The sequence below is a fragment of the Homo sapiens genome, chromosome 10, assembly GCF_000001405.40.
Source record: "Homo sapiens chromosome 10, GRCh38.p14 Primary Assembly".
Taxonomy (NCBI): Eukaryota; Metazoa; Chordata; class Mammalia; order Primates; family Hominidae; genus Homo; species Homo sapiens.
In genome coordinates, this window is record NC_000010.11 from 108,180,655 (window position 1) to 108,198,057 (window position 17,403).

Sequence of the window (17,403 nt, forward strand, 5' to 3'; positions counted from 1 at the left end):
AATTTTTTGATTTTTAAATTTTATGGGTACATTGTAGCTATATATGTTTATGGGATACATGAAATGTCTTGATACATGCATCCAATATATAGTCATCACATCCTGGAGAATGGGGTATCCACCCCCTCAGGCATTTATCCTTTGTGTTACAAACAATTATCCTCTTTTACTTATCTTTAAATGTACAGTTAAGTCATTATTGACCATAGTCACCCTGTTGTGCTATCAAATACTAGTGTTACTGAGCACTGTGAGCATCCTTGGTTTTTGTCTTCTTGAAATAAAGATTTCAGTCAAGAGATGCACAGCAAGGGTTAAGTAGCAGAGTTGATTGAAGGAAGATACAGTACATTCCAAGAGAGGAGCAGCCAGCTTGGCTGGAAAACAGCTCCTGGTTGGTGTGGCTAGAAAAATAGCAACAGTAGTGTTTATTTAAAGAGACAGTACACTTGGAAAATGAGTCAGAGTGGGCTGGTAGAAAAGAATGAGCTAGCAGCAGCCAGCCCTGGGAGATTCTCTTTATTAGAATCTTACATGATTATTCATGAAGGGGCACGACAGTGTTGTGTGCAATCATGTTTTAGGTGGTACACTCGGATGTGCAGGCTCTGTGGTTGTACATGCTAGTACACATATGACATGTATCACTAGTATTTAAAATCTTCACCCTGGGGTGTGTGTTTTACTATTATAACAAGCAAAAGGCTACTCTGGGGTGAGTTATTAGAGGAGTGTGCATGCTTGGCAGCAGGGAAAGTCCCTACCATCGTTATCTCTGGATGGGGCCTGATAGGTCTCCTTTAGGGCCAGAGGAGCCCAACTATAAGGCTAGAAGCAGTCAATGAAGCCAATGTATTTTTTGCTGACCATCAATGGGCAGCACTGACTATCAGTGGGCAGTGTCTCCAAGTCTTCTTTTCGCAGGCTCACTTGCTTGCTCATTTCTGGCTATTCACCTATGCTAACAGTAGGTCTTATTCATTCTACCTATTTTTTGTACCTATTAACCTTCCCTACCTCCCTCCCAGCCCCCCAATACCCTTCCCTGCCTCTGGTAGCCATCCTTTTACGCTCTATGTCCATTAGTTCAATTGTTTTGAGTTTTAGATCCCCAAAATAAGTGAGAACATATGATATTTGTCTTTCTGTGCCTGACTTATTTAAAATAACTTAATGATCTCCAGTTTCATCCATGTCATTGCAAATGAAAGGATCTCATTCTTCTTTTATGGCTGAATTGTATTCCACTGTGTATATGTACCACATTTTTTAAAAATCCATTCTTCGGTTGAAGGACACTAAGATTGCTTCCAATTCTTGACTATCGTGAATAGTGCTTCAAAAAACATGGGAGTGCAGGAGTCTCTTCTGCATATTCATTTCCTTTCTTTTGGGTATATGCCCAGCAGTGGGATTGCTGGATCTTATGATAGCTATATTTTTAGTGTTTAGAGGAGACTTCAAACTGTTTTCATAGTGGTGGTACTAATTTTCATTTCCACCAGCAGCGTAAAGGATTGCCTTTTCTCCACATCACCAACATTTGTTATTCCTGTCTTTTAAATGTAAGTCATTTTAATTGGGGTGAGATAATATCTCATTGTAATTTTGATTTGCATTTATTTGATGATCAGTGATTTTTGGCATGTTTTCATAGGCCAGTTTGACCTTTGTATGTCTTTTATTGAGAAATGTCTATTCAAATCCTTTGCTCATTTTTTGATCCAATTGTTAGTTTTTTTTTTTTCCTGTAGTTGTTTGAGCTGTTTCCATATCTGATTATCAATCCTTTGTCAGATGGTTAGTTTACGAATATTTTCTCCCATTCTGTGGGCCATCTCTTCACTTTGTTGATTGTTTCCTTTGTTGTGCAGAACCTGATATGATCCCATTTGTCTATTTTTGCTTTGGTTGACTGTGCTTGTGGTGTATTGCTAGAGAAATTTTTGCCCAGAACGATGTCCAGGAGATTTTTCTCCAATGTTTTCTTGTGGTGATTTCAGAGTTTAAGGACTTAGATTTAAGTCTTTGATGCATTTTTATTTGATTTTTGTATACGGTAAGAGACAGGGGTCTAGTTTTATTTTTCTGCGTATGGATATTGGGTTTTCCCAGCACCATTTATTGAAGAGACTGTCTTTTTCCAGTGTATGTTCTTGGAGCCTTTGTTGAATATGAGTTCACTGTAGGTGCATGGATTTATTTCCGGGTTTTCTATTCTGTTTCATTTGTCTGTGAATCTGTTTTTATGCCTGTTAGGAGAGATCCAGAACATTATTTGATGTGTGGTTGACAGTCCTCAGCCATGTGCTGACCCAGCTGCCCCACCTCAAGGTATTCAGGATACTCATAGCATTTTCCTGTATTTGGAAAAGTGACTTTTATTAGACTCCAAAATCTTGCCAGTGGAAGACGAAGCATTTTATTGGTGCTCAGTTCCTATCCAGCTGCATCTCCATATGAAACCTGGTGTTTGCTGACTGCCAATGATTTAAAAAAAACAAAAAAAACTATGAATGAAATGAAAACAAAAAAGCACAACAAATAACAACAATTAACCACCACAACAAAATCCTAAGATAGAGTTAGAACCCTCTGATTCTATCCTTTTCTCTTCAAAAAAATCATTGGTTTCCTATCCGATTTGCTTCATTTGGAAAAAAAATATATAATCCTGTCTTTTCTGAATATTTAGATAAGGAAGGAAGGAGAAAGCATTCCCAAAAATATATGGTGTTTGATCTTGTTTCATGGGTGATATGGTTAGACCTTGTGTCCCCACCCAAATCTTATCTTTAATTGTAAACCCCACATGTCAAGGGAGAGAAGCGACTGGATTTTGTGGGCAGTTTCCCTCATGTTGTTCTCATGGTAGCGAGTGAATTCTCACAGATCTCATGGTTTTATAAATGGTACTTTTTCCTGTACTCTCACATAATTCTTTCTCCCGTAACCCTGTGAAAAGGTGCCTTCCACCAGAAAGAGGTGCTTTCTGAGGCCTCCCCAGGCATGTAGAACTATGAGTCAATTATACCTCTTTTCTTATAAATTATCCAGTCTCCAACAGTTCTTTATAGCAGTGGGAGAATGGAATAATACAGTAAATTGGTACCCAGGTAGTGAGGCACGACTATAAAGGTATCTGAAAATGTGTAAGTAACTTTGGAACTGAGTAATGGGCAGAGATTGGAACAGTTTGGAAGACTCAGAAGAATACAGAAAGATGTGGGAAAGTTTGGAAGTTCCTAGAGACTTGTTGAATGGTTTCCATCAAAATGCTGATAGTGATATGGACAATGAAGCCCAGTCTGAGGGAGTCTCAGATGGAGATGAGGAACTTATTGGGGACTGGAGCAAAGGTCACTCTTGCTATGCTTCAGCAAAGAGACTGGAGGCATTTTGCCACTGCCCTAGAGATCTGTGGAACTCTGAATTTGAGAGAGATGATCTGAAATTGGAACTCATGTTTAAAAGGGAAGCAGAGTATAAAAGTCTGGAAAATTTGCAGCCTGACCATGTGATAGAAAAGAAAAAACCATTTTCTGGGAAGAAATTCAGGTCAGCTGCAAGAATTTGCATGAGTAACCAGGAGCCAAATGTTAATTACCAAGACCATGGGAAAAAAATGTCTCCAAGGCATGTTAGAAGTCTTCACAGCAGCCCCTCCCATCATATGTCCCAAGGCCTTGGAGGGAAAAACGGTTTTGTGGGCCAGATCCAGGGCCTTGCTGCTTTGTGCAGTCTCCAGACTTGGTGCCCTGCATCCCAGCCATAGAAAAAATGGGCCAACATACAGCTCAGGCCTTTGCTTCAGAGGGTGCAAGCCCCAAACCATGGCAGCTTCTATGTGATACAGGGCCTGCAGGTACACAGAAGTCAAGAATTGAGGTTTGGGAACCTCCACCTAGATTTCAGATGTATGGAAATGCCTGGATGTAGCAGCCGAAACCTGCTGCAGGGGTCGAACCCTCATGGAGAACCTCTGCTAGGCCAGTGCAGAAAGAAAATGTGGGGTTGTAGCTCCCATACAGAGTCCCCACTGGGGCACTGCCTAGCGGAGCTGTGAGAAGAGGGCCACCATCCTCCAGACCCCAGAATAATAGATTACCAACAGCCTGCACAGTGTTCCTGGAAAAGCTGGAGACATTCAATGCTACCCTATGAAAGCAGTCAGGAGTGGGGCTGAACCCTGAAAAGCCACAGGAGCAGAGCTGCCCAAGACCATGGGAGCCTGTATCTTGCATCAATGTGATCTGGATGTGAGACATGGAGTCAAAGGAGATTATTTAGGAGCTTTAAGATTTAATGACTGCCCCACTGGATTTGGACTTGCATGGGTCCTGTAGCCCCTTTGTTTTAGCCAATTTCTCCCATTTGGAATGGGAGCAATGCCTGTGCCCCCTTTGTATCTTAAAAGTAACTAACTTGCTTTTGATTTTACAGGCTCATAGGCAGAAGGGACATGTTTTGTCTCAGATGATACTTTGGACTTGGACTTTTGGGTGAATTTTGAAATGAATTAAGAATTTGGAGGACTGTTGGGAAGGCATGATTGGTTTTGAAATGTGAAAGAAAGAAGATTTGGGAGGGGCCGGGGTGGAATAATATGGTTAGGCTTTGTGTCTCCACCCAAATCTCATCTTGAATTGTAATCCCCACATGTAAAGGGAGAGCAGCAATTGGATGGTGGAAGTGGTTTCCCCATGTTGTTCTCGTGATAGTGAGTGAATTCTCACAAGATCTGATAGTTTTATAAATGGTAGTTTTTCCTGAACTCTCACACACTTTTCTCTCCTGCTGCTCTGTGAAGAGGTGACTTCTGCCATGATTTTAAGTTTCCTGAGTCCTCCCCAGCCACGCAAAACTGTGAGTCAATTAAAGCTCTTTTCTTATAAATTATCCAGTCTCAGTTCTTTATAGCAATGTGAGAACAGACTAATACAGGGAGTCAGACATATGATTGAGGCAAGAGAGAGGCTTTTCAGGAGTAGTAACATCAAATTGTTTGAAAGTTTGCTGCTTTAGAGGATCTGTCTGTGATTCAGCATAGTTAAAACTAAGAATTTATGTAGAAGATAGTAGAATATGGGGCTAGAAAAGCAGACTAGTGTCATATTGTGAGGAGACTCATAAGTCTTTCTAAAGAATTTCAGCTTTAGCCTGTGAGAGTCAAGAAGCCCCTGAAAGATTCTAAATAGGTATACACATATTCATCTTTGTATTTCAGCAAAATCACATTGATGTCATCATGAAGGATGGGTTGGAAATGGAGCAAGGCTGGAAGCAGGGAAATTTATTGGAAAGCTTTTGTGGGAATTCAGGCAAAAAAACGAAGATATTGGTAACTCCTACAGTGTACAAGGGGTAGATAAATTTGGAAAAGGATATTTAAAATGCAAATATGCAATGTGAACCAATTAGATGTGAGAATCACAGGAAAGTTTGTGGTTGTGGACTTTGATGACTATATCTGACTTATATGACCACAGAGTTAGTAATGTGATTAAGTGAAGAGGGAGGGAGTTCAATGTGGAAAAATTGAGAGACTATCCAGCCAGAACTCTAGCCTTGACTGTAGGTGTTAATAACACTAAATTGAGATGCCCTTCAGAAATCAGCCTTTTCATCCTAAGTAGCAACAGCATGTGACTGAATGTAATACAGAGAAAGGGGAACATGTCTTATTAAGTGAGATGAGGAAATGCCATAGCAGAGAACATCAGAAGGAGGTGAAAAATTAGGACAGTGGGAAAGGAGAAGAGAAAACTACAACTAACATGTGAGGAAACTTCACTTCACATGAACCTGTCTATGAACAATTAGATCAGGAAAGCTGTTGCCACAATTCTTGGTATGTGCTCTGTTCTTTTATGGGTGAATGAGTTATTGGTGTTCCTTAAGTGGAATTGCTATTCTGAAGATTCCTGCATTTAAAATTAGCAGAATTTGCAGTGGAATAAAATAAGTTTGTAGTGGCTTTGTAATGACATGTAAATCAGGTTTTGACACTACTGGAACCCATTTCAGGCAATTCTTTGTCTCATCTCAATTTGAACACACTGTCCCAGGATAGAGCTGTGAGGCAGAAGCTTCTAGAATGAGCTATGAGTTGCTTACAAAGGCACCCATGCTAGCCAATGAGCACCATTAACTCTGGATATTATTTGTACCCCAATATGATTCAGTCTCATGGCCAATGATATGGTTTGGATCTGTGTCCCCATCCAAATCTCATGTCAAATTGTAATCCCCAGTGTTGGAGGAGGGGTCTGGTGGGAGGTGACTGAGTCATGGGGGTAGAGTTCTCATCAATTATTTAGCACCATTCCCCCTTGGTACTGCATAGTGAGTTCTCACAAGATCTGGTTGTTTAAAAGTATGTGGCAACCCCCTCCCCTTTTCCCCTGCTCCAGCCATGTGACATGGCTGCTTTCTCTTCACCTTCCACCATGATTGTAAGTTTCCTGAAGTCTCCCCAGAATGAGTAGATGCCAGGAATTGTGAGCCAATTACAACTCTTTTCTTTCTAAATTGCCCAGTCTTAGATATTTCTTTAAGGCAATGTGAGAACGACCTAATACATCAGCATTAAAGACCATTACGGAAATCCAGCTGCCTTAGCAGATGTCACAATTTAAGTCTCTCTAAAACCTTGAATCTTTTTTGGTCTAAGTTATTTGGAGAGAAGCAAGCAAAAAAAATGCCAGAACAAAAAGTTACTGTGGGGAAACAAATCATTCTTCATAGGAGTCTGCAGTTTTTATGGTGAAAGTGAATGTTAAAAGCAGATCACAATAAATTAAGATGATTGAAAGGAAAATAAATGATAGCCAGAATCCTTGACACTCAGCCACAGTTATGAGTCTTCAGTAATCTTGTGACTTTTTGAAACAGCCTGACGGTATAGCAGAAATAGCAAGGAATTCAAACAACTACCAGAGTAGACAACACACAGCAGCTGACTCACCCATATTTACCTTGTTATTTGGTTGTTAAAACTGAGTGTGTGGAAAAGGGATGTTGCTAATGAACTGTGCAATGACCAAAGGGGAAAAAGAAAGAAGAAAAAAAAGGACATAAAATATACAAAGACAAGGCTGATTGCACAATTAAATTGAAATATGTATTTATTTATCACCCATCGTAACCCAGAACAAATGAAGTGTGAGACTCCTGTGATGGCTAGGTTATAATTTCAGCTCTCAGTTCCCTTTACAAACAGTGAAAAAAACAGGCAGTTGTGAAATTCATAGTACTCTCATGGACGAAGGCTGTACATTTCATTACATCTATGCCCAAATGGCTATGGTGTGATGATAGGAAAAATATCAGTAATACATTAAAGGTATCTTAATGCAAACATGCCAATACAGAGACATCACTAAAGACATCTGGGAAAGCACAGCAATAACCTGGCCTGGGTCATATTAAATTAAGAGCTACATGGGCTGAGTCTAAAGGAATGCTTTAATTTAAACAGCAACTAGGGTCAAAGTTGTCCACAACCAGTTTCCTAAGCAGGTAGTTCTGACCACAGACTAAAGCACAGCCCATAACTTATGGAAAGAACAAAATAACTTTGACTGGACCCTGCACCTGTGTACTCAGATGGTAACCAACAGCATGATTCTCAAGCACACACACCAGTGACACAGTCATCACAAATTTCAGCCATTATCAGAGACTCATCCCATATCTGGAGCAGGAAAAAATAATAAGCTAGTCCAAAGTGTCTCTGGTTATTCACTTCTAGCTTTATTCCATTGTGGTCAGATGAGATAACTGATATGATTTCTATTTTTAAAAAAATTTTGAGACATGTTTTGTAGGTTAATATGTGGTTTATTCTTGAGAATGTTTCACTTGCTGAGGAGAAGAATGTGTATTCTGTAGCTGTTGAATGCAATGTTCTATAAATGTCTGTTAGGTCCATTTGGTCTATAGAGAAGATTAAGCCTGACATTTGTTGATGATTTTCTGTCTAGATGATCTGTCCAATGCTGGAAATCATTAGTGATTATTATGTGCAACTATATACCAATAAATTGGAAAACCTGGAAGTAATGGATACATTCATATATACAAAACCTATAAAGATTAAACCATAAAAATCTAGAACTTTAATAAACCAATAACAAGTAATGAGATAGAACCAGTAATAAAATGGCTCTCATAAAAAAAAAAAAAAAGGCCGAGGACCTAATGGCTTCCCTACTGAATTCTACCAAACATTTAAAGAAAAACTAAAACCAATCATACTCAAACTATTCCAAAAAATTGAGGAGGAGGAAGTACTTTCAAACTCACTTTACGAAGCCTGATACTAACCCTGATACTAAGATCAGACAAAGACACAAAACACAAAAGAAAACTACAGGCCAATACCTCTGATGAACATAGATGCAAAAATCCTCAACAAAAGACTAACAAAATTTAACAACACACCAAAAAAAATCATTCACCATGATCAACTGGAGCTCATCTCATGGATGCAAGGATGGTTCAGTGTATGCAAACCAATCAACGTGATACATCGCGTCAATAGAATGAAGTACAAAAACCATATGGTCAGTTCGATAGATGCCAAAAAAATTTGATAAAATTCAATATCATTTCATGATAAAAACTCTCAACAAACTGGGGAAGTAGAAACATACCTCAACATGATTAAAGTCATATATAACAAACCCAGTAGCTGACATCATACTGAATGGAGAGATCTGAAAGCTTTTCCTTTGAGATCTAGAAAAAAATAAGGATGCACACCTTTACCACTTTTATTCAACAAAGTACTGGAAATCCTAGCCAGAGAAATTAAATAAGAGAAGGAAATAAAGGGCATCCAAATTGGAAAGGAAGTAGTCAAATTATCCTTGTTTGCAGATGACATGATCTTATATTTAGAAAATTTAGGGACTCCACCAAAAAAAAGGGCTTTCAGATTTCCCCATTCAGTACGATGTCAGCTATTGGATTTGTTATATATGGCTTTTACCATGTTGAGGCTTCTACTCACCCAATTTGTTGAGAGTTTTTATTATAAAATGAAGTTGAATTTTACCGAATGTTTTTTGGCATCTATTCAACCATAAATTTAGTAAAGTTGCAGCATAAAAAATCAACAAACAAAAATCAATAGCATTTCTATATGCCAACAACAAGCAATCTGAAAATAAACCAAGAGAAAGCCATCCCATTTATAATAGCTACTAATAAAATAAAATAACCAGAAATAAACTTAACTAAGGAAATGAATAACCTCTACAATGAAAACTATCAAACATTGATAAAAAAATTAAAGGTGATAGAAAAACTGAAAATATATTTTTTGTTTATGGATGGAAGAATAAATATTGTTAAAGTGTTCATATTGGCCAGGTGCGGTGGCTCACGGCTGTAATTCCAGCACTTTGGGAGGCTGAGGCAGGTGGATAACCAGGTCAAGAGATTGAGACCATCTTGGCCAGCATGGTAAAACCCAGTCTCTACTAAAATACAAAAAATTAGCCAGGCTTGGTGGCACATGCCTGTAAATCCAGCTACTTGAGAGGCTGAGGCAGCGGAATCGCTTGGACCCAGGAGGCGGAGGTTGCAGTGAGCTGAGATCGCACCACTGCACTCCAGCCTGGGGACAGAGCAAGATTCCGTCTCAAAAAAAAAAATTCCTATTACTCAAAACACTCTATAGATTTGTTCAATCTTTATCAAAATACCAATTCTTCACATAAATAGAAAAAAATAACTGTCAGGCATGATAGCTCACACCTGTAATCTCAGTATTTTCAGAGGCTGAGATAAGAAGATTATTGAGGCCAAGAGTTCAAGAACAGACTGGGCAAGATAGTGAGACCCCATCTCTACAAAAAATTTAGGTACTAGCTGGGTGTAGTGACACACACCTGTAGTCCTAGGTACTCAGGGGACTGAGGCAGGAGAATCACTTGAGCCCAGGAGGTTGAGGCTAAAGTGAGCTATGATTGTGTTATTTATTGTACTCTAGCCTAAGTAATAGAGCAAAACCCATTTTTTTAAAAAAGAAGGAAAAGAAAAAATGATGTTAACATTTATATAAAAGCACAAATGACCTAGAATAGCCAAAGCAATTGTGAACAAAAAGAATAAAGGTGGAGGCACCACATTACCTGACTTCAAATTATACTATAAAGTTATAGTAAACAAAACAGCATGATACTGGCTTAAGTACAGACACATAGGACAATGGAACAGAATAGAGAACTCAGAAATAAATCCACATATTTACAGTCAACTCATTTTGACAAAGGTGCCAAGAACATACAGTGGTGAAAGGATAGTCTCTTCAAGTATGATGCTGGGAAAACCTGATATCCATATTTAGAAAAATGAAAGTAGTCTCCTATCTCTCACCATATACAAGAATCAAATCAAAATTTATTAAGACTGAAATCTAAGACCTCAAACTATGAAACTGTTCCAAGAAAACTTTGGAAGACACACTCCAGGACATTGGTTTGAGCAGAGACTTTTGAGTAATACCTCAAAAACACAGGCAGCAAAAGCAAAAATGGAAAAATAGGATCACATAAAGCTAAACAGATTCTGCACAGCAAAGGGAAGAGTCAACAAAGTCAAGAGACAACCCACAGAATAAGAGAAAATGTTTGCAAACTATCCATCTGACAAAAAGGCTTAATAATCAGAATATTTAAAGAGCTCAAACAACTCAATAGAAAAATACCAATTTAAAAATAGTCTAAATAGACATTACTGAAAGGAAGAAATACGAATATCCAACAGACATGTAAAAAGATGCTCAACATTACTAATCATCATAGAAATGCAAATAAAAACTACAATAAGATATCAGCTCACCCCAGTTAAAATGGCTTTTATCCAAAACAGGCAATAACTGATATGGTTTGGCTGTGTCCCCACCCAAATCTCATCTTGAATTGTAGCTTCCATAATTCCCACATTGTGGGAGGAACCCAGTGGGAGATACTTGAATCATGGGGCAGTTTCCCCTATACTGTTCTCGGGGTAGTGAATAAGTAAGTCTCATGAGATCTGATGGTTTTGTACGGGGAAACCCCTTTCAACTGGTTCTCATTTTCTCTCTTGCCTGCTGCCATGTAAGACGTGCCTTTCACCTTCCACCATGATTGTGAGGCCTCCCCAGCCATGTGGAACTGTGAGTACATTAAGCCTCTTTTTCTTTATAAATTACCCAGTCTCAGGTATGTCTTTATCAGCAGCGTGAAAACTGACTAATATAATAACAAATGCTGGCAAGGATGTGGAGAATGGGGAACCCTTGTACATGGTTGGTTGGAATATAAATTAGTACAACCTCTATGGATAATAGTTTGAAGGTCCCTCAAAAAACTAAAAGTAAAACTATGATAAGATCCAGTCATCCCAGTGCTGGTTATATCTACAAAAGAGAGGAAATCAGTATTCCAAAGAGATGTCTGTACTCCCATGTTTATTGCAAAAGGATTCAAAATAGCTGAGATATGGAATCAACCTAAGTGTCCATCAATGAATGAATCGAGTTTTTATATGTGGTAAGTATACACAATAGAATACTATTCAGCCATAAAGAGAATAAAATCCTGTCATTTGCAACAACATGAGTGGAACTCAAGGTTATTACATTAAATGAAGAAAGCCAGGCACAGAAAGACAAATATTACATGTTCTCACTCATATGTAGGAGCTAAAAGAAAAATTGAACTTATGAAGATTAGAGTAGTATGATGGCTATCAGAATATGGAAAGGGTCTGGCAAGGCATTAGGTATGGAAGGATAAAGATGGAATGGTTAATGGGTACAAAAATTGCCATAGAAAGAATATGAAATAAGATCTAGTGTTTGTTCGCACAATAGGGTGACTATAGTTAACAATAATTTATTGTATGTTTCAAAATAGCTGAGTAGAATTGGAATTTCCTTAACACAAAGAAATAATAAATGTTTGAGGTGATGGATACACCAATTACCTTGAATTGATCATTACACATTGTATACTTATATCAACATATCACATGTACCCATAAATATGTGCAACTCTGATGTATCTATAATTAAAAGTAATTTTTTATAAAAATTGAAAGAAAAAATAATGAGCAAATTCAATAATCATACTTTCATCAGTCAAGGCTAATCTTACAATTTTAGGGAGATTTTCTGCTTTAACTAATGACACTAGTGTCACTAGTAAAGTATGTTTATATTTCTAAACTTTTGTTATTGTTTCATACTTTGTTTATTAATCATGAATCAACTTAGGGTTTTTTCCATATTTAATTTGGAATAGAATTTAAAAGAGTTATGGTTCACAACAGAAGTAAAGGCAGTTTCATAACTCAACCTGTTAATATCCTTTTGATCCTTAATTTATCAAGTTATTAAAAGTTCTTCTCTGCTATAGACAATATCCAAGGTGTCATCTTAACATTTTTTCAAATCCATGTTTAATAATGAGAACAATCTCTCCTTAAATCAAAGTTGTTGAAGGAAATTTAAATTGCCTATGCATAAAATGGAAAGGTAAAGTACATCAGTGGAGAGCAGCTTGTACTCCTTTTAAATTGTTATTAAGCAAATGCAGTTAGTATTTTTAGCATTCCAGGCAATTTACACACCTGAGCACAATTTATTACCTTTCTTTATGCATCTTTAGGAACAAGGTTTCCTACAGCCATCACTGTTTGACCTAATCAATGGATTCATATGTTTCTGCATTGTCCTGTCACTTTAGCTTTGTTTCTACAAATGAGTTTCTTTTCATGGGAAGGAGAAAAAAAATCACTTCAGTTTAATCCTAGCAGAGGCACAGTGCTGGGGGTCGCAGAGGTCCTGATTAACAGAAAGCCTCATTCCTGAAGATCCTGTAGACTGGATCCCACCAGGCTTCCCATATTGGTATTGTTGGTATACCTTTTGGGGGGAAGTGTCTCATCTGCTCTCATTCCAATCAGGGCAAGGTTGTTGAAGTGTAGTGCTAACTGAATTCTAGCTTTCAAGCATGCAAGAGGAGAGTCAAAATCACCAGGCTGTGGGACTTTGCTGAGACTTCAGCCATCAACTCCTCAGCCTCTCTCTCTCACTCTTTCCCTCTCACTCCACTCACCACTAACAGGACCCCCAATAATGTGCAGATAAATATCTATAGCAACATTCCTGGGGATGTTGTGATCCTAGGAATATGTGTTCAAGCCTGTACTTGGTCTCAAAAGTTCCATGCTGGACTACATAAAAAAATTGTTTGTTATTGTCATGATACAAATGAATTTTTATAAACACAGAAAACAAACTTGAACATGGAAAATTGCCCTTCTGTGTATCCTTTTTTACTTCTCCCTTTATCCTGTCAGCATAGTGTCCACACAAGTCAGAGCCCTAGATTGTAACTCAGCTTCCCTGTTTTCATTCCCCTTCATGAATGTTTCAGTATTTACATTTCTGCTTAATATGCTAAGATGGATAGCACTGCCTCTTGACAGATACTAATATAGGCTCCCCAGTTGCTGAGATGTTTGCTCTCTCCTCTAATTTCTCTGTAATACCTAAAGTTCATTTTCACTGCCCATATCCTTCTAGCATGCTCATTTTTCAAATATCTATCTTTCAATATAATATTGTCAAGGTAACAGCATTTACCCAAACGAATGATTTGATTAGCGCACAGAAGGATGTCTTAATGGCCGCACGTGCTCAGTTAAATTTCCTCCAGCTTTGCAGCTTGTCACCCTGGTCCTCTTGTCTATTCACCGACTGAGAAAATGCAGAGAAAAGGGAAATAATTTAGAATTTTTTTTTAAAACTATCAGTTGGCATTACAAGATACCTCAGGGACTTCTTCAAGACTCTTATTTCTCTGACCACTACTTCAATTTACCACAGCAGGTCAATTCAGATAGAAGGTGACCTACTTGGAACAAGAACATAAGTCCTAGCTCAGATCACAGACAATTTTCCTAAAATCTAACTCTGTGAACATGAGCAGATATCAACAAAATCTATTAGCAATGAATCTCAAGCTCAATGTAAGTACCTCATTTTTTTTAGACAACTTATGTAGTCCTGGACCTTGACAGAGATTCACTGAAACACGTAGTTGAAGGAGATATGAGTGGGAGACGCTCTTGGAGTCAAGATTTCAATCGGCACCAAGTCCTTTATACATGGACAACCACCAGAGGCTGGCTGTAACTGCAGCAGGTGTTTACTGAGTGCTTACAAGTTGTGCACACTGTGCTAAGTGCTATGTGGTTGCTATCTTAATCTCTCAACAACCAGTGGAAGAGGAAACTAAGGCTTAGGGAAACTGAGGATCTTGCCGAAGGTGACATCACAGGGAAATCAAGGAGACTGGTTTCAAATGCAGTTAACATAACTTTCAGCCATTGTGCATAAGTGGAGCCTATGCTGTGGGTATAGGCATTTCCCCACAAAATATATCCGGGGGAAATGTGTAGACAGAGAAAGAGGAAGAGGGAAACTATTCAAAGATTCAAACAGGGCAAAGCACTCCTTTACTACCACTTTCTTTGATTCTAGAAGGTACTAAGACCTGACTCTGTTGTTCCCTTACTTAGAGCACTTCAAAAATGCTCCTTATATTGTAAACACATTGCTGTTTTGGGTGCCATGTTAGTGCTTAAAAAATATGAATTAACTATTCATCATGGCCCCTAAACACTGGTCAAATAATTTAGTAGCCCTAAAAGCAATGAAAGAAACCATCATTGCTTCCAAACCTCCCAGAAACTGGGCTGTGGTGGTCTGGGTGAGATGGCATCTTGGTCTTTGCTGTGACACATTTAAGAGTGGTTATCAGGAGAAATTTTAAACTGATCCTCATACTTTGGTTTTATAAGTTAAAATCACAATGAGATGCAGATATTATCTGTTTCAAGGAACTTTCCCTTCTCTTTCTCATCCCAACCCACAGCTCAGAAGCCACAGGTAATTCCAGGCTTCTTATTTTTTTTGTTAGCTTTCATAATAAGGAATCTATAAAGATGGAAAGTGTTAAGAAATCCAGAATTTAACACAACTTTTAAATTAAAGTAAATCAAAATCAATTAAAGATGCCTCTCAGTTATAGGCTATTTTATTTTAGGTGTTTATAATTTTCCTAAACATTCTAATGACTCAACATTATTTTGTATCTTGCCAACACGAATGTGCATATTGGCATAAATATAAAAAATGAGTGAATGTAACACAGGAGTTCAATAACAAAGGTAAAGAGAGAGAAAGCATGAAAGTGTGAGGTCAGGCACAGACATGGACGGAGACAAATGTAGACAGATGAATATCACATGCTTGCTTGATTTTCTTCCCTCTTGTCCTACTTTCCTACCTCCTAGGGGAGTTTTGTTTTTGCTGATTTGGTTTGTTCTTTTCCTGCACATACTTTATAATTAATCACTTTCCCAAGCATCCTCATCTTGGTGTCTGCTCCTTGACCCCTACTCCAAAATAATAATCCTTTTCCAGATATCTTTTACTCCCTATCTCATTCATTGATTTTCCTGACAGTGATTCTTTAATATTCCAAATGAACTACTTGCACTGAAGTTCTTGTCTAGGCACACTTACATGTAACCCAACTAAGAAATATGTGACAAACAAACTGAGATAACTGTCTCCAAGCTGGTGTGCCATTTTCTGTAATTCATCAATATTCATGCTTACGTTCTCCAACGACAATTCCTTTTAATGATTTAGATGGTGGTTCCTGACTCACTGACTCCAAATCTCACAAGCGTGATGGCAGAACCCCACATTTACTTGGTTAGAATTGGTAAAATCAAGAATATCCTTTTAACTTGATGTTTGGGCTACTTTATGAAATATTTGTTTTCTTATTTAGATTTCATTCTAGTTTATATGACATCAATTCTTACTTGAAAACATCCACCTGTAACTGAAATGATTGAAGTTTGATGAAAAACATATTGACTGGCTGAGGAAACTATATGACAATTATATATTGCTATAGAGAAATGAGACAAGTCCAATAGCCACATCTTGAGAACCCACTATGTGCCAATAGCTGAACCCTTCCTGTGGACACATCTAAGACTCGTTGGCACATACTGGGATTTTGATCATTACACGAGGGCTAACGTATCTTGAGGCAGGAGCAGCTAGCTCTCTCTTCCCTTTGACAGAGTTGTGTATTTATAGCTGGGTTCATTGGCTCACACCTGTAATCCTACCACTAAGAGTTGTTATTCTTTTCATTATTATTATTATCTTATCAATCTGTTTTAAGCATTTATTTTAAAATGGTAAACTGTTTTAATTTATTAACAACCATTATAACAAACTCAGAAATTTTATTTTCTACCTCTCTTCATTTCATGTTCAGGTTCCCCAGAGATAGCCATTGTTTACTCAATAAGCTATTTTATCACATAACTATTTAAAATGGAATTTCTCTTCATACCATTTGTCCTTCCAAGCTTCAAGACAAGAAATGTTGCATTGGGAGACATTGTCTCTTTCTCCTCAGCTTGACTAAATTTTAGACATGTTTGTTTTTGACTATAGACTCCGTTCTCTCTTTTTAAAAACGCTTTTAGAGCACTTACTTTATAAAACTTGCAAATGTAAATTCTTAGTCTTTGTTCAAATCTCTTTGAGATTTTAAATCTTCTCCCAGACCCTATGCAGTTTTAAAACCAAGAAATATCTTTCTCAAGGGCTTGGTAGCCATTCTTCTGAAATATAATGATTAAGGAAGACAGGGTCCTGTTTTTCACTCTCTGTAAGAAGGTAGGAAACTACCTTTGACAAACACCAATTAACAAACACATTGACCAACCTTCCCTCTAAAGTCCTCCAGCCCTTTTCTACTAGCTCATCCCACTGCTTAAGAACCCTCCTACCTTTTGTTTTATCAAAGTTGTGCTTAGTCTCTCTTCTCTACTGAAATAGTCATAATCACTCCACAACCTATGCATGTAATAACATGAGCCACATGTACCATCACAATGTATCCCATAAATATATACGATTATTATTTGTTAAGTAAAACATAAATCTTAAAAAAGTAAAAATAAACCCTTCCTTGCCTGTTTACCTGTGTCTGGTGCATATTTCCCTTCGACTATATCCACCTTTATTTTGTTGTAATACCTTAAACCAGTGAATGTAGAGGGAGAGAGGACACATCAATGGTACACAGGACAGTGTCTGGAACAAACAAATGCACTGTGTCAGGTCACAATTTCTTCCCTGGGGCATTGATGGAACAGCTTTAGGCAAATATGACAAGCAAACCCTGTACAGCCCTCCCACCCCTCTTATGGTAGTTGGCTCCTCTCTAGCCTGCTCACAATCCCTATCTGGTCATGGTCCTTTTATTTCTTTCTTAGTTCCATATTCTCCCTCCCTCTCAGACT